The 25,390-nt window shown below is 38.8% G+C and overlaps 1 protein-coding gene across 34 annotated transcripts in view, besides 1 other annotated feature; it reads right to left on the minus strand.

The window, feature by feature from the left end:
- Positions 1–25,390, minus strand: part of SRPK2 (SRSF protein kinase 2) — a 284,618-nt gene that overhangs the window by 104,471 nt on the left and 154,757 nt on the right. The gene's annotated exons all lie outside the window — the stretch shown is intronic.
- Positions 9,159–9,659: an enhancer, noted in NCBI's record as "H3K27ac hESC enhancer chr7:104868816-104869316 (GRCh37/hg19 assembly coordinates)". NCBI's record gives its function as "activates a minimal SCP1, AML or CMV promoter by ChIP-STARR-seq in naive H9 embryonic stem cells {active_cell/tissue: H9 hESC(naive)}" and the evidence as "EXISTENCE:reporter gene assay evidence [ECO:0000049][PMID:30033119]".

A 25,390-nucleotide genomic window follows, 5' to 3' on the forward strand; every position in this document is an offset into this window, starting at 1 on the left:
GGAACATTTTGGAGACACTAGGCACAAGGATATATAGTACTGGGCTAAGAAACAGTCTTTATGATGAACAGTTAGAATCAGACCAGGATCTTAGTCTCCTTACTCCACTCTGCTCCCAGAACATATCCCCGGCTCATGTCTACGCCCTGGACAGGAATACGGAGACTTCTTCACTGGAGAAACTAAATAGCCCCACTCAGGCCAGGCCTATGTATCATTATAACAGAATTACTTTTTTCACCCTTCCCTTTAAAACTAATGATCTTCAAGAAGACTTATGTTTTACTCACTAGGTTCTGCTCCTATATGCAAGATCCTTTCAGGCTTTTAAGTGCTAGAAGCCACTCCCTGTTTACTAAGTATGACGTTAGCTATGTGCCTAAGAACAGACTGAGCCTTAGTCCCTACGTACTTAGTAGAGCTCCTTACTTAGACATTAAATAACAGATGTTGAATGAAAAATCACAAGTGAAAAAGTATATGCCTAATGCTTGGTAAACTATTTAAGCCTACAATCTAATACTCTGATTTCATAATCTGACAGTGATCATAAACTTTTAAAATGTTACTCAAATTTGCAGTATTTAAGAGTAATATTTCCTACTCATTTATTTTCCCAAAATATGTAGGTACCGTGTGAAAGCACACAAAATTCTGTTTATTTAGTGGAGATAATGTTTCTATGTATTAGGAGTTCATGAGTAAAGAATCTTGCTAATGACTCAGCCACAAACTGGTGGCAAGAACAGGCAAAAATTCCTAACCAGTGTACACCTGACTTAGAGCCATGTAAGCCAAATAGCCTATTCATCACTACTTAGTAGGGAGAAGTTTAAGAACTCAAATAGTATCTGACTTAATCATAAAAAATGAAATACGGTTTAATCAAGTGATTAATGTTTTTAAAATAAGCAGGCAAAAAACTAAACATAGGGAAAAATAATGCAGTTTAAATGTGGCTATAAAATAAATACTTTATATACAGAATAAGTAGTTTTGTTTTTCCTAATTCTTAGATCCACTTACGATTTTAACAGTCTAGCTTGTGCCGGGTGTGGTGGCTCACACCTGTAACCGGGAGGCGGAGGCGGGCAGATCACAGGGTCAAGAGATCGATACCAGCCTGGCCAACATGGTAAAATCCCATCTCTACTAAAAATACAAAAATTAGCTGGGCGTGGTGGCGCACACCTGTATCCCAGTTACTCAGGAAGCTGAGGCAGGAGAATCGCTTGAACCTGGGAGGCAGAGGTTGCAGTGAGCTGAGATCGCACCACTGCACTCCAGCCTGGCGACAGAGCGAGACTCCATCTCAAAAAAGAAAAAAAGAGTTAATACAAGTGTTCAAAAACTCAAATTTAAATTGTAAAAGAACTAACATTAAGAAAAAAAGTCTAGCTTGTCATACTTAGCTAAAACAAAGTCTTTCAATCATTTATTAGTATATGAAACAAACCACCAAAAGAATCTAAAACTAGCATACCATTTACCACTCCAGTTGAATGTCACTATATTGTTTTCACTAAGACTCACTTTAACCATTTTTTTTTTCCATCAAGACATCCAGACCCCCAGCCCTGATTTGATGTCATCCCAGGATGTGTCTCATTTGTTTCAGAAGCCATCTTGAATTGTTTAAAATGTTTTAAAGGTTTCCCTTTACAATAGTCTAATCCTTTCAAAAAGTGGGGTCAGGGGCAGGAAGAGCTATACAATAATTTTTTGGTACTGGAGGTAAATAAGAGTAGAAAATGAAAAAATAAATTATAAATCATTACTTCAAAAAATATTAGCAGTATTTATTTGGCAGAATCAGAAAATAAAGTTCATGTGAGCTAACTGGTCTAATAAAAAGGTTTACTAAACCCACACACCAGTTTTCGACAAAAATCTCTAAAACATATTACGGATATTCCTCAACTCACGATGAGGAATATCCAAAACACCCTTCATAAAGTTGAAAAATCCTAAGTCAAGTCATTATGAGGGACTTGTATCTGCTGTTGCCATTATACGCTTGTCTTTACTAACTAAATAATATTTCACTCCTGTCACTAGAATTTGAAAAGTACAGAGTAGTAGTTAAAGGCATAGTCTTAAAAGTTGAGAGCTTGGTTTAAGTTCCAGCTCCATCAGTTATAAACCCTGTGGCTTTGAGCGAGTGATACCCACTTTTCTCACCAATCTTATTCTTTCTCCAGCTACAACAGTCCTCATGCCCTTCTTGAATCCAGACAAGAATCTACACTGCCTGATGATCTGGTTTACGAAAGCCTGTACATTTTTTCTGGGATTTCAAACCAATATCACACCAACGCCAAATGCTACTTTGGCCCCAACCATACCTATTTGCCAAGGTCAGCATCACGGAGCATTCTGTCACTACTGCCTCAATTTCCATCCCTGAAACAAGATGCTGCTTTTTTCTGTGGTGTCTCCCTTATATAACCCCCTGTCCACAACAGTCCTAACCATATCCTTTGCCATCTATCTGTGGCGCCACATCCCTCTCCCCACTCAACCCATCTTCCTTTTTAACAGAGCCAACTTTCCAAAATTAACATACAACTGGTGATTTTTCTGCTTGAAAAGTAGTATTTATTTTTCTTCGGATTACCAAAATAATATTTGTTCATTATCTGTAAATCACAGGGCTATAAACAAACTAATTCTTTACAGCCCTAGTATCCACAGATAAACCAAAATAACTCCATTTATTTCCTCTCAATTTTTACCCAGATATAATTTGAGATCCCTCTTTTCATAAACATCTTCTCCTATCATTAAAAACACTGTAAAATATCACTTTAGCAGGCACTTCATCATACACGTCTACCAAAACTACTGAACCATTCCTTTGTTTCCAGTCTTGGGAAGATTGTATATACTGTGAAAAACATCTTTAATCATGCATCTTTGTCTATACCTTACCAATTAAATTGTTAGGGCACAGTACCAGAAGTAAAACTGCCAGATCAAAGATTATACACATTTTAAAACCAAACATAATGCCAAACTGCTTTGCAAAATTCTGTGTAGCACTCTAAACACCAGGAAGAATCTTTATTGGCAGTTAAACTGCTTCTGATGCCCTTGCACAGACTTTAATAGAGAGACATCGTACCAACAAAAGAATTGTTCCTCACAATAACTTGTAACTTAATATTAACAAGTAACATTCCTTTTTAGGAAAATATTAAAAGCACTAAAATCAAAGGCTTAAAACTTAAAATCTGAAGTAAAATTTAACCAAACAATAACTGAAGACAATAGTCTAACAATTTAAGCATTTTAAGCAGAAAATAGTTTTTTAACCATAAAATCATTAGTAAGTTTGAAACTTCTATTTTTGCCTACTTTAGTATCTACTCTGAGCAGTGCTAACTCTTTAAATACTATAATGCCAAAGCATTCCTTAAAAGTTTTCCATCATTAGTTACATTTTTGAGAAAGATCAATCTGGTATAAATATAGAAATTCAATCCATAATAACATTAGTTTTAAAACATAATTCAGAAAGATTTACACTTATGGCAAATATAACCACACCAGCCATTTACTATAAAGTTCTGTGTTTGTTTCATCATGAAGAAGAATGATATGGCCTCTGACCTCATGGAGTCGTCTGTGGAACGACAGTGGAATTAGCAGAGAAATTTATAATTTTACTGATGAAAAAAAAACAGCTAAACTCTAGTATGTGGTAAGAATCAGGCATTATCTATTTGCTTTCACATTTATTCAAATACATTCTTTTAAGTTTTAATTTTCTTAAAGGCACAAATGACACAGAAAAAACTTTCCTACTGAGACAATTACTCTTTGTGAAAAATAAGAGGTAGGCTGAAGTGGCCCAGCTGACCACTGAGCGCATACAGTCCAGGGCCTCAGCCCAGGGCCCCAGTCGAGGAACGGCATGTTGGGACCACAAGATCTCACAACCTCCATTTGTCCAGACCGGGCTCAAGCGCAATAAATCCAAAAAACATCTGTCATCTCTTCAGCTGAAAAAAGCTCAACTGCAACTATTCTTTGTCACTGCCTTCCAGATCCTTTTCCTAATGTGAGCAAACCTGAAAAGGCCTCCAAAGAGGCTCCTAATAGGCTGACCAGAAAGTCACAGAATCTGTTTCCACATTTTAATAACCCAGACAGAACACGGAGTTGAAGGCTGTTTCTTTGCACTTTGTCCCTGACATACATACCTCCCTGCCCAAGTGTCAAAAAATTAAATGTCTCCCATCTCAGCTCAACCTTGTGTCTTCTACCCTATAAAAAGCCATTCTTCCTTATTTTAGCCAGATTCTACTTTTCTTTCAACAATCATCTCAAACCTTATTGACTCCCTGTGAATTGTCTATGTCCCCCACAGATCTCAACTATAGCACCTCCCGGGGTTCCTCTTGTATTTTAATTAACCACATACATGTTTTCCTCTGCCACTAGAGATGAAGCACTTGCAGGGTTTAGCTAAAATTTCCACATACATCTCTCTCCTTGCACACACATACAAGAGTTTCTTGAAGCTAATTTTTGTCAAGCTATACTCAGAAAGCAATGAAATCAATACACAGCTTTTTTAAAAAATGAAATAAAAGTATAAAATACCTAAGTGTGCTTCATGCGGTAAAAGTATTGTTTCTTGAGACATATTTCAGTTGTGTGTGAACAGATCTGTATATGCCTCGAGTTACACAAAATAACATATAAAAAATATTGCTCAAGGGTCTTAAGGAGCAGGCTATGCATATCTTCAAATATGCAAATTTAGATATATATTCCCCACCTGGAATTTTTGATTAAATTCTGAAACAGAGCTCTAGTTTTAGTTTATTTCATATGGATAACCAATTGTTCCAGCAATTATTTATTTTAGATTGAGTTACACACATATGCTGAATTTACAGATTTTTAAACGACATCTGTACCATATTAAGCAGCCCCATTCTATATTTTTAAATATTTATATTTTATGAGTCTATATATTCATTCAAAAGTGATTTTATGCCCTTTAATAATATTTTGTAATTTTTTTCATAAAGGTCATACAATAAGACTTTTGTTAGAGTTACTGTTAGGAATTCAGAATCTGTAACCTTTACTCAAAAATAATTTTAAGGTGGGTGCAGTGGCTCACACCTGTCATCCTAGGACTTTGGGACTCTGAGGCGGGCAGATCACCTGAGGTCAGGAGTTCAAGACTAGCCTGGCTAACATGGTGAAACTCCGTCTCTACTAAAAATACAAAATTATCCAGGAATGGTGGTGCACGCCAGTAATCCCAGCTACTTGGGAGGCTGAGGCAGGAGAATCACTTGAACTCAGGAGGTGGAGGTGGCAATGAGCTGAGATCCCACGACTGCACTCCAGCCTGGGCAACAAGAGCAAAACTCTGTCTAAAAATAATAATAATAATAACTTTAAGATATTTTAATTATCCAGTAAATACATCTCTTATTTATCATTTGGTTAATGTTGGCTCAAGTTTCAGTTTCCCCTCATCTTCCATTTTAAAACACTTAGAATTCTAAATTAAACTCCAAACTGTCAGTTAAAATACATCATGAAATTCATTCCTATTTTCTTTCATGAATTTAGTACATTCAGTTAGTATTCAAAGTGAACAAAACATTCCCCTTGACCCCAAAATGAATTTGTTTGCTGAAGTTAAACTTCTCATGATAAAAAGCCCCAATCTTAAAACACACGAGCTAAAACATAAAAAAGACGTTAAAATATTAAATCGAAAACTTCCCTTTCCTTACTGAGCTTTCATTAATCAGGTTAATAATAGTTAAATTTACCTAGAAGACTGCCACCATCAAAAAACTGTAAGCCAGGCGCAGTGGCACATGACTGCAGTCACAGCTACTTGGAAGGCTGAGGTGGGAGGATCACTTGAGCCCAGGAGGTTTAGATCACTTGAGTCTAGCCTAGGCTTTTTTTAGAGACCCCCATCTCTCTCTTTAAAACAAACAAACAAACAAACAAACAAAAACAAAAAACAAAACACCACTGTCAATAAAATCTGACTTGCTTTTCTGCCTATAAAGGCTGTAGCTTCTTAAGATCTATTTTATTTAAGGCTAGCAACTATCCTCTTTCAATATGTATTGGGAGAATCATTATGGTTCTTAACGCTAGAGCAAGCTGCAGTGAGCTGCCAACCAGCAGATCGTCTGCCTTAGTAACTTCCTATTTATGACTCATACATGAAACCAGTAGTTTCTCCCTCCATGTCCTGAATGAAGTATGGCAGAGCTCCCAAATCATTAGCCAGCCTCTCCAACAGAGGATGGCCACCATACTCCCAACAAAACCACTTTTAAGTATGACACATATCCTATATTTTTAGTCAGATCATCCAAAACCTTCTAAATTTGGTGAAAATCTACCTAGTCATTTTTCACATTGCAATTACAGACACAGAGATACAATTTTAATTGTATTTATAAAGTTTAATAGGCTGTTTCTAAAAAACAAGCATTCTTAAGACTGTAGAGAAAATAGTAAATAAATTCAGTAATTTTTTTCCCAAAATATCTTGTGCTTTTCCTTATAAATGTCTTACAACTAAACTTACACTTAAAAAAAAAAGTAAAAGTGGGTTATTGGGGTTCTAGACTTCTGCTGTCCTATAAGGTAGCCAGACACATGTGGCTATTTAAAGTAAAAATAAGCAAACAAAGATTCAGCACATCAGTCTTACTAGCCACATTTCAACTGCTCAACAGCCACATGCGGGGGTTAGCAGACTGGACAGAAAAATCACAGAAAGTTCTACTGAACAATGCTGCTTAGAGTTTAAAAGCTGTAAACTGTGCTAATAAAATTATCTTTAAAATGTAGCTTGTTACTACCAAGTAAGAAGTTCTGTTAAGTCTAGGAACCTAAAGACTTCCAAAATATATTAATAATCATGTCAAAATATTAGATCTATTTTTTCAATAAAAGAAACATAAAATAATATTTGTCTATGAAACATTTAGTGATCATATTCTTCCCAATAAACAAAATGGAAGATATATTTTGCTTGATTTTTTTTTTTAAAAAACGCACTATATATGTGCTCAAGAAAGAAATAATTTTTTTTTTAACAGAGTCTCACTCACTCTATCACCTAGGTTGGAGTGCAGTGGCACAAATTCAGCTCACCAAAACCTCCACCTCCAGGGTTCAAGTGAATTCTCCTGCCTCAGCCTCTCGAGTAGCTGGGATTACAGGTGCGCGCCACCATACCTGGCTAACTTTAGTATTTTTAGTAGAGTTGGGGTTTCACCACGTTGGCCAGGCTGGTCTTAGAACTCCTGACCTCAGGTGATCTGCCCACCTCAGCTTCCCAAAGTGCTGGAAAGGTATGAGCCACCATGCCGGGCCAAAATTCATGTTTTAAGAAGATATCCAAGCCACGCATACCAAAGACCTCCCCTTTAAAAGAAGGCCTTTTTTCAAGTGCAGGATTAAAACAAAAGAATATACTTTCAGACTTAAGGATAAGACAGTGTAGATCTCTGGCCAGGCACGATGGCTCATACCTGTAATCCTGGGAGGCCAAGGTGGGTGGATCACTTGAGGCCAGGGTTAAAGACCAGCCATGGCCAATATGGAGAAACCCCATCTCTACTAAAAATAGAAAAATTAGCCAGGCTTGAACCTCGGAGGCAGAGGTTGCTGTAAGCCGAGATCACACAACTGCACTCCAGCCTGGGTGACAGAGCAAGACTCTGTCTCCAAAAATTCCAAATAAAGAGAGAGCGAGCAGTGATTTCTGTCATCTGCTCAGCAGCAAATCGTTTCTCATTGCTGGCACCCTCTAGCGCTTGTGTGTCACCAGATTACTGGAAACATTTTAGCAGAGAGAATGGGGACCATAAAACACTGCTTGGTCCTTCTCTCCCTAAAAGTTAATTCTCAAACCAAGTAACAAAGCAAAGAACTCTTAACTCAGTAATAAAAAAAGACAAAAGACACAATTTTTAAAAAACTTTTTCCATAAGTTATTGGGGTACAGGTAGTATATGGTTACATGAGTAAGTTCGTTAGTGGTGATCTGTGAGATCCTAATGCATCCATCACCCAAGCAGTATATGTTGCACCATATATGTTATCTTTTATCCCTTGCCCCCTTTCCACTCTTCCCCTAAGTCCCCAAAGTCCGTTGCATCATTCTTATGTCTTTGTGAAAAGACACAATTTAAAAAAGCAAAGGATCTGAATAGATGTTCCTCCAAAAAAGACATACAAGTAGCCAAAAAGCACATGACAAGATGGCTCAACATCATTAGCCATCAGAGAAATGCAAATCCAAACTACAATGAAATACCACTTCATGTCCAGTAGGATAACTACAAGTAAAAGGATGCTAACAAGTGTTGGTGAGGATCCTGGGAAATTAAAAATCTCTTACACTGCAGGTAGGAATGTAAAACGACTCTGCTGTTTTGTAAAACATTCTGGCAGTTCTACAAAATTTCAAACATATAAGTTATCATACGACCCAGCAATCTCACTTCTAGGTATTTATCCAGTAGATATAAAAACATATATTCACTCAAAAACATGTACATGAATGTTCAGTCACAATATTCAGAACATCCAAAAAGTAAAAACAATCCAAATGTTTATCAACTGATGAACAGATAAACCAAATGTAGTGTATCCACAAAACAGAGTATCATTCAGCAAAAAAAAAAAAAAAAAAAAAAGTAACTAACAACGATAAGACTCCAAATAATGGATCAGTAATCCAATTTTTATTACTTTACTATTTCTAGCCTACTATTTAGAAAAGGAAGATTTTAATAACAAATATAAATGGTGAAAACCAATATCCTAATTTCTTTTTTTCTGAGACGAGGTCTCACTCTGTTGCCCAGACTGGATTGCAGTGATGCAATCTTGGCTCACTGCAACCTCCATCTCTTGGGCTCAGCCTCCCAAAGTGCTGGGATTAGAGATGTGGGCCATGGCACCCAGCCCAATCTCCTAATTTCATATGAAAAAAAGTTATACAAAGACTGGAAAAATCTCAGTATACCTGGGAAATTAATGGGCTGTCACTAGAATAGTACAGTGGCTGAATTTAGATCCTTCAAATACTGTTTAGAAAATTTCCATTGGAAGCTTTATAAAGAAAGCACATCAACTCAACTTTCTGAAATTACATTTCATAAAAGATGTTGTTTTAAAGAGAAATTGCTGAAATTCCAATTTCTGGATACTAACACAAACTTGAAAGATGAAATAAAAAGTTCTTTAGATGTATCCTAATGGGCCTAATGTAAGAATGTAGAAAGATTATGTCAACACCTTTAAAAAAAGTTTTTGGAGACGGGCGCAGTGGCTCACGCCTGCAAGGGGCCATCTGAGCTGCTAACACACCACCGTCCGCAGACAGCGGAACTAAGAGAGCAGTGTAACACCCTCTCTCAGGCCTCGGGGTCACGGGCACCCTCACCTAGGCAGCGCCACAAGCGGCAAGATGAGCTGCTAACACACTGCTGTCTGCAGACAGCAGAACTAAGAGAATACCGTAACACTCACTCTGGGGCTTCAGAGTCCCAGGCACCCTCACCTGGGCGCTGCGAGAGCTTGTTCCCGTGTTGGCGCCTGGAGCAGCCAGCCGGATCCCGCACTCGCTCGCTCACATGCTCCCTCCTGCAAGCGCTGGAGAATGGCAGGCTGAGTAAACAGGGCGCCCCTGTTACAAGTCCAGTGAAGAGGCCGAGAAAAGCCCTGCATCATAACTACTGCTCACAATAGTAGTGGTCTCTCTGCTACTTTTTCACTGTGAAATTGAAGCTGGAATGAAAATGGTACAAACACCAACAGCTAGCTGTTTTAAAAAGGCTGGCCCAAGAGAGCCAGCACCGAGTTCAGGGAACTGCAGTGAGTTCAACTCAACAGACAAAGCACATAAAACCACCCAAAATTTTGAAGGTACACTTGTTGCTTTAAAACGACCATCCTTTGGCCGAGCAAGGTGGCTCACGCCCGTAATACCAGCACTTTGGGAGGCCGTCGCGGGCAGATCACGAGGTCAGGAGATCGAGACCATCCTTGCTAACACGGTGAAACCCCATCTCTAATAAAAATACAAAAAAATTAGCCGGGCATAGCGGCGGGCGCCTGTAGTCCCAGCTACTCAGGAGGCTGAGGCAGAAGAATGGCGTGAACCCGGGAGGCGGAGCTTGCAGTGAGCCGAGATTGCGCCACTGCACTCCAGCCTGGGCGACAGAGCAAGACTCCGTCTCAAAAAAAAAAAGGCCATCCTTTTTGTGCTAACATAAAAAATCCAGACATCTAAATATGTCATTTTTATTATATCAAATACGTAGCTTTGATCTTAGCTATGGAGGAGGTATCTCTCCCTCTCCTTCCGCAGTGCCCACAACAGATGAAGGGGGAGCGCAGGAATAAAATTCTAGAGTCAGGTTACAGGACTATCATAGAGTAGGAATAAGTCTTGGTTAGACTATTCCTCAGAGAACTGAGGTTAAGAGCTGAGAAATATCAAACAATCATATACAGAGCAAAAAGATCTCAATATTCTTTCAAGTAAGAACTTGCACTGCTGTGTTCAGCCAGAGGCAGTGGGTGGGGGGGAATGGGGGTGGGATAAAATCAACAGCGAAGCTGAGTCGCTGTCCCAGGGATCTAGTCCAGGAATCAAGGCAAAAACTGCACGACAGTTTTTATTTTAAGTACTAAGTGGTTTTGATGGAAATGAGGAGGACTTAATCACACCGGAAGGTTTCAAGAAGACGTGGGACTGAACTGGATCTGACATATAGGTAGATTTTAGCCAGCAGTGGGGAAGACATTTTGTAAAAGGAGAATCAGTGCCTCTTCTATCCTTAAAATGCTAAGGCAGGAATTACCAAGGTCTGTCAGCTGAACACTGTAATGCTCATCCTGAGCAAAGCAAGAATGCCTGAGGATAAGAGGGCCCAAAACCACAGAGTCCTTTAATAAAACAGAAAGGTACAAATGAGAATGATACCTAAGATGGATATGGAAGGTGTGGAAGACTTTGACAGAGATGGAGGCTGGAACATTTCAGGTAGAGGGAGCAGTAACAAGAACAAAGGGCGGACAAACAGCTGCATTCCACCAGCTGGGCAGCAGCAGGGCATACGTCCAATATAATGAATGTAGCTGCAAAGGTGGTGGACACCGACACTGGAGACCATAACCACCAGGCTCTCACACTGGCAAAAAAGCAAGTAAGCAGTAGATAGAGAATAGGGAGATGGCAAAACCATCCATGTGCTTTAGAAAGATTACTCCAGCACACTTAAGCATGATGAAGAAAGAAAGACAGGAAGGTAAAAAGATTTACCCAGAGACCAGATTTCTTTTCCTATAAAGGACATGTATACCAACGAGGTGCCCTTGCTTCACCACTCACATTTGTCCCGGTTTTTAAAGACAATCATATACACAGATAAAGGAATGCTGAAATGGACACTCACATGTTGACAAACGTCAACTGTTAAAATAGCTGGGCAATATGCATGAAAAATCTTGTTGATTCTTGTCTTAGGAATGAATATGATCTCTGTCATATGTTGTGATTCTATCTTAGGAATTTATTTCTGGAAAATAAACCAACCATTTTTCAGTTAAAAAAAAGTATACAACTATTATCAAAAATCATTGTTTATGACAGCCAACATATTGTTAATACTATAAATGCAATATTCTTGAATTTATTACAAGCAAAATGTGTTTTTTATTTTAACTTTTAGGTTCAGGGGTACATGTGCATGTTTGTCATATAGGTAAGCTTGTGTCACTAAGGTTTGTTGTACAGATTATTGTAGTAAGCCTAGTACCAATAGTTAATTCGTCTGCCCCTCTCCCTATTTTCACCCTCCCTCGCCAAGTAGACCCCAGTGTCTGTTTCCTTCTTTGTGCTGATTTGATGAGTTCTTATCACTCAGCGCCCCCTTATAAATAAGAACATGTGGTATTTGGTTTTCTGCTCCTGCATTCTTTTCCTAAGGGTAATAGCCTCCAGGTCTATCCATGTTCCCACAAAATACATTATCTCTTCTTTTTTATGGCTGCATAGTGTTACATTTTCTTTATCCAGTCGGTCACTGATCGGCATTTACATTGATTCCATGTCTTTGCTATTGTGAACAGTGCTGCACTGAACATCCACATGAATGCGTCTTCATGGTAGAATGACTTATATTCCTCTAGGTACACACCCAGTAATAAGATTGCGGAGTCGAATGGTAGTTCTGTTTTTAGCTCTTTGAGGGATCACCATACTGCTTTCCACAGTGGTTGAACAAATTTATGCTCCCACCAACAGTGTATAAATGTTCCCTTTTCTCCGCAATCTCGCCAGCATCTGTTATTTTTTGGCTTTTTAACCATAGTCATTATAATTGATGTGAGATAATACTTCACTGTGGTTTTGATTTACATTTCTCTAATGATCTGAGATACTGAACTTTTTTTCATATGCTTATTGGCCCCATGTATGTCTTCTTTTGAAAAGTGTCTATGTCCTTTGCCCACTTTTTAATGGTATTGTTTTTCTCTTACAAATTTGTTTAAGTTCTTTATAGATGCTGGATACTAAACTTTGGTCAGATACATCATTTGCAAATATTTTCTCCCATTCTGTAGATTGTCCATTTACTCTTTTGGTAACAGGGTCTCACTCTGTCACCTAGTCTGGAGTCTAGTGGTGTGATCATAACTCACTGTAACCTTGAACTCCTGGGCTCTAGCAATCCTCCCACCTCAGCCTCTTGAGTAGCTGGAACCATAGGCACTTGCCAACACACCCAGGAAATTTTACCTTTTGTAGAGATGGGTCTTGCTATGTTGCCTAGACTGGTCTCGAACTCCTGGGCTTAAGCAATCCTCTTGCCTATATAATCTGCCTGCTTTAAGAATTCAAGGCATGAGCCACCACACCCAGACTAAAATTTATTTTTAAGATCAAGTTTGCAGGCCGGGCGCGGTGGCTCACGTCTGTAAGCCCGGCACTTTGGGAGGCGGACAGATCACCTGAAGTCAGGAGTTCGAGACCAGCCTCACCAACATGGAGAAATCCGTCTCTACTAAAAATACAAAATTAGCCAGGCATGGTGGCACATGCCTGTAATCTCAGCTACTCGGGAGGCTGAGACAGGAGAATCGCTTGAACACGGGAGGCAAAGGTTGCGGTGAGCCGAGATCGCGCCATTGCACTCCAGCCTGGGCAACAAGAGCGAAACCTTATCTAAAAAAAAAAAAAAAAAAAAAAAAGATCAAGTTTGCAAAGAGTTTTTAAGTACAAAAGTAAAACAAAAACGGCAATAAAAATTTGTACTTAGGATATTATCATTATTCAAACACTTGTAATCTAAGTCTCTAAAGTGAAAAGGCTGCAAAACAAAACAAAAAAAAACAGTAACAGAAATATTCACATGTGAAATAACCATTAATAAAATCAGACCCTTTTCAAATATCTCTCCCCATTAAAAAAAACAACAATAATAATAAAAAAAAAAAAGATAACCAGGCTCAGCGGCTCACGCCTGTAATCCCAGCACTTTGGGAGGCTGAGGCAGGTGGATTACGAGGTCAAGAGATCGAGACCATCCTGGCCAACATGGTGAAACCTCGTCTCTACTAAAAATACAAAAATTAGGTGGGTGTGGTGGCGGGTGCCTGTAATCCCAGCTATTCAGGAGCCTGAGGCAGGAGAATCACTTGATCACTGAACTTGGGAGGCGGAGGTTGTGGTGAGCTGAGATAACGCCACTGCACTCCAGCCTAGGCAAAGGAAAGGAGGGAGGGAAAGAAAGGAAAAGAGAAGAGAGAAGAGAGGGAGAGAGGGAGGGAGCAAGGAAGGAAGGAAGGAAAGGAAGGAAAGAAGGAAGGAAGGAAGGAAGGAAGGAAGGAAGGAAGGAAGGAAGGAAGGAAGGAAGGAAGGGGAAAGGGAAGGAAGGAGTTTAATGAAGGCACAGGTCAATTAATAGTCTTTGATAGAAACTGAGTGGCTGTCTATAGTCACGCCACCCTGAAAACACCTAATCGCATCTGAAACTAAGCAGTTGACAAGAGAATGCAGATACAATTCAATAAACCTGAAAACCTTACAAAATATGCAAGACTTCATGGTAGCAATAAAAGCCTTGTTGACCTTAGTAACAGCCAAGGGTACTGGCAAACAAGAACCCAGCAGACCAACTAACAACTGTAGAAGACAATATCAACAAAGATAATGGACTGACAGGCTCTTTAATGGAGAACTTGCATATGAGAGAATTAGAGATCAGTGGAAAAGAGGTGAAGCTCTCAACTACTTTTACAAAATAGTTCCTTTATAATTCCTGTAAAAATAAAATACGGGCTGGGCGCAGTGGCTCACACCTGTTATCCCCAGCACTTTGGTAGGCCAAAGCCGGTGGATCACTTAAGGTCAGGAGTTCAAAACCAGCCTGGCCAAATGATGAAATCCCGTCTCTACTAAAAATGCAAAGAAAAAAAATTAGCCAGGCATGGTGGTGTGCACCTGTAATCCTAGCTACTCAGGAGACTGAAGCAGGAGAATCGCTTGAACCTGGGACTCAGAGATTGCAGTGAGCCAATGCACTCCAGCAGCCTCGGCGACACAGCAAGACTCCGTCTCAAAAAAAATGAAAAATGAAAATAAAAATAAAATAAGTAAAAAATCATATTTTTTTGGAAACTATTACAAGAGAAACAATATTTGGGTCAATTCTTTGTTCATTCTATAAACTAACAGATCCAAGAGTGATAAATTTTGTTAAATATTAAAATAAAACTAATTTCATTTTAATAATTAGTATCTATTATTATTAAAATAAGGCCCAATTAAATTTTTTTATGACTTACATAAAATTTAGATCCCTGTTTTAAACAGATTCACATTAAGAACACCTTTGCTGCACCAGTTATAATAAGGTAAATGAGACTGATTATTTTAGTAATTTCAGTTATGTAAAAAGAAAAAGACTACAAAGATTTATACTAGTAGTTGCCACTGGAAAATGCGGTTGTGGGTGTTTTTTGTTTGTTTTAAACAAAGGGACAGAATTAAATACTGTTTAAAACAATGCAAATATATTAACCAGTAAATAAGATTTTTGAAATGTAAACTAATATTTCATCAATGGATTGCTATTGCTTTTCAATCTACCAAAAGATCATTAGAGAAACTTCTACTATCTCATTTAAGAAATATTTCCTGGATCTCTACGATGTGCTAAATACCATGAAGACAAAATTTAATAATAGGCTATACTGATGCTTACTATGTGCCACTTCAACCCGTAAAATAATGCAGCCAACAAACTAATTATTATCAACGTCCAGAGACTGAGAAACATTAAGTAACTTACCCAATGGTATATAACTAAATAGTAACTAAACCATCCTTCAAAACAAAGACTGTCTACAAAGCCCAGGATCTTAAGCACTTAGCTATGTATTGCGTTGGAGAGGCAGCCTTAAAATAACTTACACATTAGAAGAAGAAAAGCAGCAAGCAGAAAAGCACCAAAGCAATGAAGATAGGTGTGCTGATATAAGATTCACCACATGCTATATGAAGCAGGAAAAAAAAAGGTTCAGTGTGGGTAAGAAAAGAGGGCATCACAGACATGGAGAAGATGGTAACAGAATTTCAAAGAACACATGAATTCCACAAGAAGAAAGAGGTGTTAGACCAAGCCTGTCCAATAGGCCACATGCAGCCCAGGACGGCTTTGAATGAGGCCCAACACAAATTCACAAACTTTCCTAAAACATGAGTTATTTCTGCAATTTTTTAAGCTCATCAGCTATCGTTAGTGTTAGCGTATCTTATGTGTGGCCCAAGCCAATTCTTCTTCTTCCAATGTGGCCCAGAGAAGCCAAAAGATTAGATACCTCTGTGGGAGACCATCTGAGGCAGACAGGGTAATGTAATTTTTTGGAAACTACAAGTATTATTTGGCAACGGCTCCCACCAAAATTTTGTAAACTTGTAGGAATAGAGATAAAATAGTCAAATGTTTGCTTATAATATTTAATGTTTAATTCAAGTACATATGTATTTAAATTCATGTTATAGATTATTTGGAAAGACTGTATTTCCCATTGTCACAAAGCAAGTTTATTTCAAATGCTTTATCACATGCACCTTTACCATCATTGTACTCATCAGTAAAGCCATCTCTTTAGTCTAAAGTCAGTTTTCTGAAATGCAGCATTTTCACTTCTACGTTGTCTGGGATTGTGTGTGTGTGTGTGTGTGTGCATGTGCATGCATTTTAAATATGTATGGTATTGCCAAAGGAAGTGTTCCCCAAGTCAAAAATAACTACTCATTCTCGTTCATGTCAGTTAGCTTTTCCATTTGGTTTTATACACAAACAAATATATCCTCTCTATATCACAATCACTTATTGTTTTGCTTTTTCATATGATCTATAAAAGGCATGAGAAACATTCAACATTTGAAACTATGAGAAATAATTAACAAAACAGGTGTTAAAATATCTTTAAAAAAAAAACTATTTCTACTAGTGAACTCTAAATTACCTAAAACTAACAAAAGATTGAAACCATTTCCATTTATGTCATCACAAAGAATTATTAGCTATTCAAAATAAAGTCATTGAGATAGTTCCCTCTAATATGAGAGATGTTGCACAGCACTATTCTCCGGGGGATAATTTCTTGGGGAAAGGGGAATTCATTTATATTCTAGCAGTACTTCTATACTAACATCTATAGGTACATTAGAGGAAAAGCAAAAGGAAAGAAACTTGAAATAGGCCTGAATAAGATCTGTGGTTCTCAAACTTAGGTATATGTCAGAGTCTCCTCAAGACCTTGTTACAGTACAGTTGCTGGGTTCCATCCCTGTGTTTCTGATTCCATAGGAATGGGGTAGGGTCTGAGAAGGTGCCTTCCTAACAAGTACTCAGGTGCTGCAGATGCCACACTCTGATCTAGATTATGCTAGACGCTGTTCATCATACGAAGGTTGATTTTATCTTTCAGGAGTTTAGGACAGGGAAATGACATTATAGGATTTGTGGTTTTTAAAATATCACTGACAGCATTATGGACAGTAGTGTTTTCACATAACATATTTCATTTATTCTAATATGTATTTTTTCACAATTTCTGATAACAGAGTGCATCTTCCCATCAACAGTATATCATAGTTTAATTAGCAGTGATTTTTCTTTCTTGGTGGTGCATAAAATAATGGTGTAAATTATCACTTACAGGCAGCAGATTCACTAACATACAGTATTATCACCTCTGATATAATGGCACTGTGAAGGGGGAAAATAGGTTTTATTCCCGTTTTACAGATGAGGAAATAGGTTTCAGGACAATACAGGAAATAACATGCCTAGTAAATGACAGGTCCAAGATGAGAAATTCAGAAATTTTTGACACACAAAACAAACACCATTCCCCTCAATGATACCACTTATAACAACCTGTAGTTCACTTGCCAGAGAGAAGACAAGACAAGAGCATACCAGTGTACCCTAACCAACAACAGGAGCAAAGAGAAGAGTCCATGGGTACCAGGTGTGAAATGCCAAATTTAAGTAATCAAGAAAAAGTGTCTCAAGATTTTCATTAAAAAACTAAATAAATGAAAAGACACAATGAACCACCTCCACAAATATAGAGATAGAATCAAAAGACTAGTTTGGGAACACTGTTTCATGCAGTGCTGAGAGATGCAGAATGTGACATAACATCTCCAAAGCAACAGACATCAGCTTAAGGATTTAAATTATAGTTGGTGATACTAGGAAGTCAAGTTTGTGTAAAGACAGGCACTGGGCCTGGAGAGTGGCCAGAGGCCAGAATGCCATACATGACCAGCTTTCTGAAAGATGACTAGAAACCCAAGATACTGCAGCAGCATCAAATGCAACACCTCTCAAAAGCCCACAAACTTAGCTTCTGACCAAACCCTGTCTGGAAAGGTGTGATGTTCTAAATACCATTCTGTAGGCTGCCAGATGATTTTTTATTTTGAAAAATTAAAGGAAAAATCAGAATAGAAAATCTAACCATTATTATTTGTCATAACATCCTGCATATTCCTACTCCCCACTGCAAGTCTACTAATAAAAGATACACTAAATTATGCAATCTTCTCAGTACATTCTGAAAAGCACATTACACCTTTACTTGGCTCAATGACATGTTCTAATTCCTAGGAGAAGAATGTGCAGATATTCTAGTTCATCAAACAAATTTTCCTCATTAAAACAACTCAAAGCTCAGAGGAGCGAACAGTCTAAACTGATCATTATTCTGGAGCCCAGATAGTTTTCATCTCTAAAAGGAACTCTAAATACTACTTAAATCTCAAATTCAACTTCTAACTAGAAAAATGAAAAAACAAACTTAGAAGAGGGCACAAAGCTTTTGCTGTGACCATGATACATACTTTAAAACTTGAATACCTTGACAGATAAGCAGAGTTATCACAAAGACCGAATGGGGATAGGGTCTACAACCAGACATGAGACATCTGAGTGCTGTGGTAAAGCTACAAGCCAAACATGAAGAACGTAAGGAAGCACCATCCAGGGCAATTAACTCAAGATATTTCTATTTTTCCTGCTTGGTTATAGGTGCATTATAAACATTTAAGTCTTAAGACTGATTTAGGGGAAAACATTTAAATGTTTATAAACAGGCAATAAAAGCAGCAGTAGAGTCTGACAGAGCACTAAAAAAGCCACATTATTATTAAGTTTGACACAACTCATGAGCAAAATAACCTAGAGTTAAAGGCAAGGCATATATCTAAATCAGCTCCTCTGTCAAAATAACTATTCCATACTCCCCCAACCAGACAAATGACAAAAGCTTCTAAGTAAAGGCTGAATCGTGCAGGGTAAACAACAGCAAAGCAGCATCACTTGAATAAACAACTAGCAACAAAATTAACAATCATTTTCACTTCAAGGCAGATGGCCCCTGAAAGGTGATACTTGCCTCAAAGTCCTAACTGATCAATAGTCAAGGTAACAAAATCATCATCGTCGTCATCATCCTCATCATCATCATCCCTTGGGTGAGAAAAGATGCTGAGAAAAGTCTGGACAGGAGTCAGCATAAAGCACTGCTTCCCACTCCAGGAGCCTCAGGAGGTACAGTCTGTCCTTACTCCCAGGCAGCCAAGGCAGAGGCCCACGGCCTAGGCTCAGTTTGTAACATGCCCACTGGTGGTGACTCTCCAAAGAAGTCTCGAGGTCACAAGCGGCAAAACTACAGGGGAAAATCACTGGAAGGACTCAGCTTCAGTGGCAAGACACATCTAGCACCATGGCCTCAAGGCTGATCCAGTGGTTTGCCCACAGCTGCTGCCTCTCCCATTGCCCACTCTTTTATTACACAACCTACTTCAATCACTGTAACTAGAAATAAAATAGCCAGTCAGTTTGTATTATTTGGAACCCAGAAGCCTGAATGACAAGCTTCACCATTACACAGTCATTATTTCATTTTTATTAAAATTAAATAATTTCTGAAAATTTGTTCTGTGTTTTGATTTTAATAAGAAAATCATTTTCAGTAGGAAATTAGAAATGAACACAATGAAGAAAGTAACATCATTTATAACCCCACCACCTAGACCGAAATACCCACGACCACTTTGGAGCACACTCTTCTAAGCTTTCTTCCAAAATGGACAACTTGACAAGAGAACAAAGCACGAAGGCAGTAAGCAAACTTGTGGTCTACGGAGTCATTAGGCCGGGGCAGCCAGGTAAAGTTATCATCCAATACACTTCTAAGAACGAAGGGGCTTCATTCCACTTCTCCTAATAAGCAAGCCAAAAAACATATAAATCACAGCCATCCCTGGCAAACCAGAGTGTACAATTGCACTACATATCTGAATAGTCCAGCCTCCTGATTAGGAAACCCTACTCTAGAAATAGTCCCATTCATCAGAAGAGGCAATGAATTATAAATTCTTCCTATATAGCACAATTTAATCAGTTGTTAAAAAGGGCAACAATAAAATAAACCTTCCTATGTTATAAGCGACCTAAAATTTTTATGAAAAACTTCTCAAACAAAAGCTACAATTTAACATCAGAAAGCACAAAGTATAGATAGCATTCCTTCCTTCCTATTAAGTCAGAAAAAAATGTCATTACAATTTATCTTTGCATAGGTCACTCAAATAAAAATATAGAGAGAACAAAGGACATTTTTCCTAAATTATCAAGGTATCACTGAGGCAGTTACATCTAGTCCTTCTCAACCAAAATAATACATCTTTGTTTTCTCCTCCTGTAAGTGGGTCAGAGCCCTTACAAATGCTGGAAGCAGGGAAACAGCCTGAACATCAAAATATATTGTTTCAAACATACTCCTAGGAGCTGACAAGATGTTCTGGGATGAGAGCAAAAAAATGGAGCCATAATTAACAAAATCTGGTTAGACGGAGTCTGACTTAAAAATAATACTCCACAATATAAAGCAACAACAGAAACCCCACTAAAGTATGGAAAATCCAAGTCTAGATTCAAATACAGTGATACATGGTTGATAAGAATAAGAAAGCCAATTCTCTGAGCTTAACATTGATCCTGTTAAACTAGGATCTTCGCAGCAGTGTCAGATTTGGCTTCCTGCCTTTCTCAGAAACTACTTACCTACAGGCTATTTTCTTACCTCTTTTCTCAAAATACTCTATTTTAAAGATGAATCCTGATGAAATTCCCTATCTCCACTGATCAAATTCTACTTACAGAAGAATAACCTCTGGATCAAATACACTGGGCACAACATAAAAGGTCTTACTCTGTTTAGGTTGCTATAACAAAATACCACCGAGTGACTTATAAAAAAGAGAAATTTATTTCTCACAGTTCTGGTGGCTGGAAGTCCAAGATCAATGTGCCGACAGACTGATTCTGGTGAGGGCTGGTTTCCTAGCTCACAGGTGGGGCCTTCCAGCTGTGTCCTCATGGTGGAAGATGCAAGGGGCCTTTCTCAGTCCTCTTTATAAGGATACTCATCCCACTCATGAGAGCTATGTGTTGGTGATCTAATTGTCTCTCCCAAAAGCCTCACCTCCTAATACCATCACATTGGGGGTTAGGAATTCAATATATGAATTTTAGGGGAACATATTCAGACCATAGCATGGTCAAAAGTAAAACTTATTTTTATCCTTTCATGGAGCAATGGTGAAATAATCATTCTATCTGGAGGAAGTATGGAATGAACATACATTAAAACAATTCTTTAAACTGAGTCCTAAGAATATAGAAGAGGTATAGAAATCATGTGATTTATTATGTTTTCTACATATAAACCCTTCCTGGACAGAAATTAGGGGGCAGTGGAGGAGGAGAAGAAAAGGAAAAAAAAAATGTTTTTTTAATTTTAAAGCCTAACCATAGATTGTAGTTTCAGAAAGTACAAGGAGAAGTGACACCAAACTTTGAACCTCACTTGACTCTAAAAATGGGAAGATCTACAGGTGATGAGAAAGAATTGCACTTTGAAATGGCAACTTTTACCATCAATTTTTTTCTGTTATGTTGCATATTAAATATGCTCAATTTATTATGGGCCTTCAATTTCCACAAATAAAATACTCGTCCAGTATGTACTGAAATACCTATCTGCTAAATATTTATAAAGTAACCTTTGTCAGTACTATGCCAGTTCACAGCCTGCAATGTTTTATTGTTATTATTCTGACTTCATTTGCCTGTTTTTTAAAGAATGTTCCAGTATCATTTTTACAAAATTGGAGGGAAGGGATTGAAAGCAAAAAGATGTAAGAACTCTTAAGTGAAAGCACAGAAATGGTGTCAGAAAATAAAATAAATTAGCTTTAAAAGAGGCTGCATGGTAAGAAAAGGATGTAAACTTTTTAAATGTTGTTTCTAAGGAACTCTAATTTTGATGCCAAAATTAGATGGTGACATATTGAGGTATATAACAGGACTGTAAAGCTAAATTTAGATGTTCCTTCTTTAAAGCATCCGCCAGCTCCTAGACCACTTATTGAATAGGTAACTTGTGCTAAACAGTTATGTACATTATTTCAGTTAAAGCTCAAAATGTGTATGCATTATAGAGAAACTGGACTCCGGAGAAGGACTCCGGAGAAGGTTACCTATTTGCCCTAGGTAAACATCAGTGACCAAGTTCATATGAAAATCCTGCCTGACTCCAAAGCATGTGATCATTCCTCTAAATCAAGTTGTCCCTCATACCATCCACCCCTCTTCAGCATCTACTTTATATTGACTGTCCCCTTAAATCCTCACAACCCTATGTGAGGTGAGCATTATCATCTTTATTATAAGGATAAGGAAAACTAGCACAATGAGGTTAGGCAACTTTCCAGAATTTAGCTTCTGGTCCCTGGCTCCAAAGCCCATATATTCTATCCAATATATTTTGCTGCTTTCAGCTCTAACAATCTACAAATCTATCATCACGCAACAATCTATTCCTTTACAGGAAACCATGATTCTGTGCAGGAAGATCGAGTCAGACGTGATATTTCATTACCAGCCCAACTCTCATCTTTCTCCCTTCACACGTTCCATATCACCTCTCCTCCCAGCAAAATGACCAGACATCTTCTCATAGATTGGCATTACTATCAGCTACTCCCCCTACCACACCTATAGATGACCATAAACGATGAAGAAAAGTAGGAGGAAATGTTCCCACCAAGAAAAGGTCATTGGGGCCACTTTTACAGTCTGCCATATTCTACCTGATAATCTTACTCCAACAAGCCCAAGGATCAGGTCAAATTCAATACATATTTAAAATAAAAATTTAAATATTCCCATTGTCATTTTGATCTTATGTCATTATCAGCTGGTTGACGGCAGGCAACATTTCTAAGTCTGTGACTTCATCTATAAAATGAATATGATATCAAATGACCCTTCAACCTTAGAGCTCTAAGTTAATCTAACATACATCCCCTCTTCCTTTGCCTGCTTGTGAGAAAGCAGCTGAAAATTTGGCAGGGTGCAGTGGCTCATGCCAGTAATCCCAGAACTTTGGGAGGCTGAGGCGGCTGGAATGCTTGAGGTCAAGAGCTCAAGGCCAGCCTCGCCAACATGGTGAAACCCCATCTCTACTAAAAATTCAAAAGTTATCCGGGGGTGGTGGTGCACACCTGTATTCCCAGCTACTCGGGAGGCTGAGGCAGGAGAATTGCTTGAACCTGGGAGGCAGAGGTTGCAGTGAGCCAAGATCACCCCACTGCACTCCAGTCTGGCAAAAGGGCGAGGTTCCATCTCAATAAATAAATAAATAAATAAAAAGCAGCTGGAAATGTATAAGCAAAGGCAGATAAAACTCGACAGTAAGTAAAGCAAGTGATCATTATTAGGTTCTGCAATATACACAAGGACCTACTCAGAGGCAGGTGTGCATGCACACATGTCTAATCTGAAACAAGTGACAAAAACAATCTAGAGTTTATTCTTGCCAACCTGAAATGAATCACCTATTTTTACCTCATCTGCATTCAAGAGGGGGCCCAGACTGATCCAAAAGAGCCAATGAACCATGTTCACCATTGAGTCTCGAGGCAAGCCGGATCTCCAATCCTTAAAGTGACCTCTGGCTTGACTGCAGCTATCAACTGAACATGAGGAATGGAAAGCTACAAAAGCCTAAAGCTTACCACAGAAGTAGCATTTCAAATATAAATCTACTTCTGTATTTTATTAATTCTGGTAGAAGGTGAGGCCAGGGCTCAAAAAGCCTGGATATCTTAACATTCTAATCGTTTTTTATTCTTCTTCTTCCTTTTTAGAGACACGGTCTCACTCTGTCACTCAGGCTGGGGTACACTAACTCACCGTAGACTCCAACTCCTGGCCTCAAGTGATCCTCTCACCTCAGCCTCCAGAGTAGCTGGGACTCCAGGCCCGCTACCATCCCAGCTCCTTTTTCTTTTATTATCTGGGTAGATAAGGGGAATCCCTATGTTCCCCAGGCTTGTCTTAAACTCCTGGCTTCAAGCAATCCTTCCCCATCAGCCTCCCAAAGTGCAGGGATTACTTCCATGTGAGCCAATGCACCCCGCCTACATTCTAATCTTAATTCTCTAAATCTAGATGATGACACTTCACAGTTGAGGAGCCTGAGATAGGATCAAAGGTGGCAAGATTACAATTAAAATCCTAAAGTCATTTGTAATCCCAACACTTTGGGAGGACAATGCAGACAGATCACCTGAGGTCAGGAGTTCAAGACTAGTCTGGCCGACATGGTGAAACCCTCTCTCTACTAAAAATACACAAATTAGCCGGGCGTGGTAGTGCATGCCTTGAACCCAGGAGGTGGAGGCTGCAGTGAGCCAAGACCGCACCATTGCACTCCAGTCTGGGTAACAGAGAGAGACTCCATCTCAAAAAAAAAAAAAAAAAAAACCACATGCCAAGCAATCTCAAATAACGAACGGTAAATTTAGGGCTGTGAAGAAACTTGAGAATTACAATAGACTGAATTTGCAGCAAGACAAAAAAAAATTTTAATTTCAGTTACAAAGATGTTATTATCTCTAAACCATAACACAATAAGAATCTGCAGCTCAGCAGATTACCTAAATTCACACGTGAGAAGTGGAATGAACAAAATTTACCAGTCCAATCCAGAGACCTTTGTCGGGAATTCTGGCTGCTGCCATCAATAAAATGGAAGAGAAACAGCCAAGGTAACTGAGTTGGAGTCCCAACTCTGCCATTAATAAGATGAGTGTGCCTCCAAGGTTCAGAACTTGTGGGTATTTCAAACATTGAGTGGGAACTTCTAGAAGGAAAGAGCTGCCATAAAGAAGCCCCACGAGGGCTGAAGAGCTGGCAGGGGTAGAGGGCCCAAGTCCCGTCCGCTGGTCAGGAGGCTTTTCCAGGCCAACCAAAACCACTGTAGTAGGTGGAGACCCCACTGAGTCCATGAGAACACAGAGAAGTTGGGGTAAAACCGCTATAAAAAGAAACATTTGCAAGGCTGTTCAGAAGGCAGTAAAACAAAAAGATACTGTCCAATATTTCCTATTAAAAAATACAGGGCCGGGCGCGGTGGCTCACGCCTGTAATCCCAGCACTTTGGGAGGCCGAGGCTGGTGGATCATCTGAGGTCAGGAATTCAATACCAGCCTGGCCAACATGGTGAAACCCTGTGTCTACTAAAAATACAAAAATTAGCTGCACATGGTACCAGGCGCGCGCCTGTAATCCCAGCTACTCGGGAAGCTGAGGCGGGAGAATCGCTTGAACCCGGGAGGCGGAGCTTGCAGTGAGCTAAGATCGTGCCACTGCACTCCCGCCTGGGCGACAGAACGAGACTCCGTCTCAACAACAATAAAAAAATCCCAGAGTTC

This window comes from Homo sapiens, chromosome 7, assembly GCF_000001405.40.
Source record: "Homo sapiens chromosome 7, GRCh38.p14 Primary Assembly".
Classification (NCBI taxonomy): domain Eukaryota; kingdom Metazoa; phylum Chordata; class Mammalia; order Primates; family Hominidae; genus Homo; species Homo sapiens.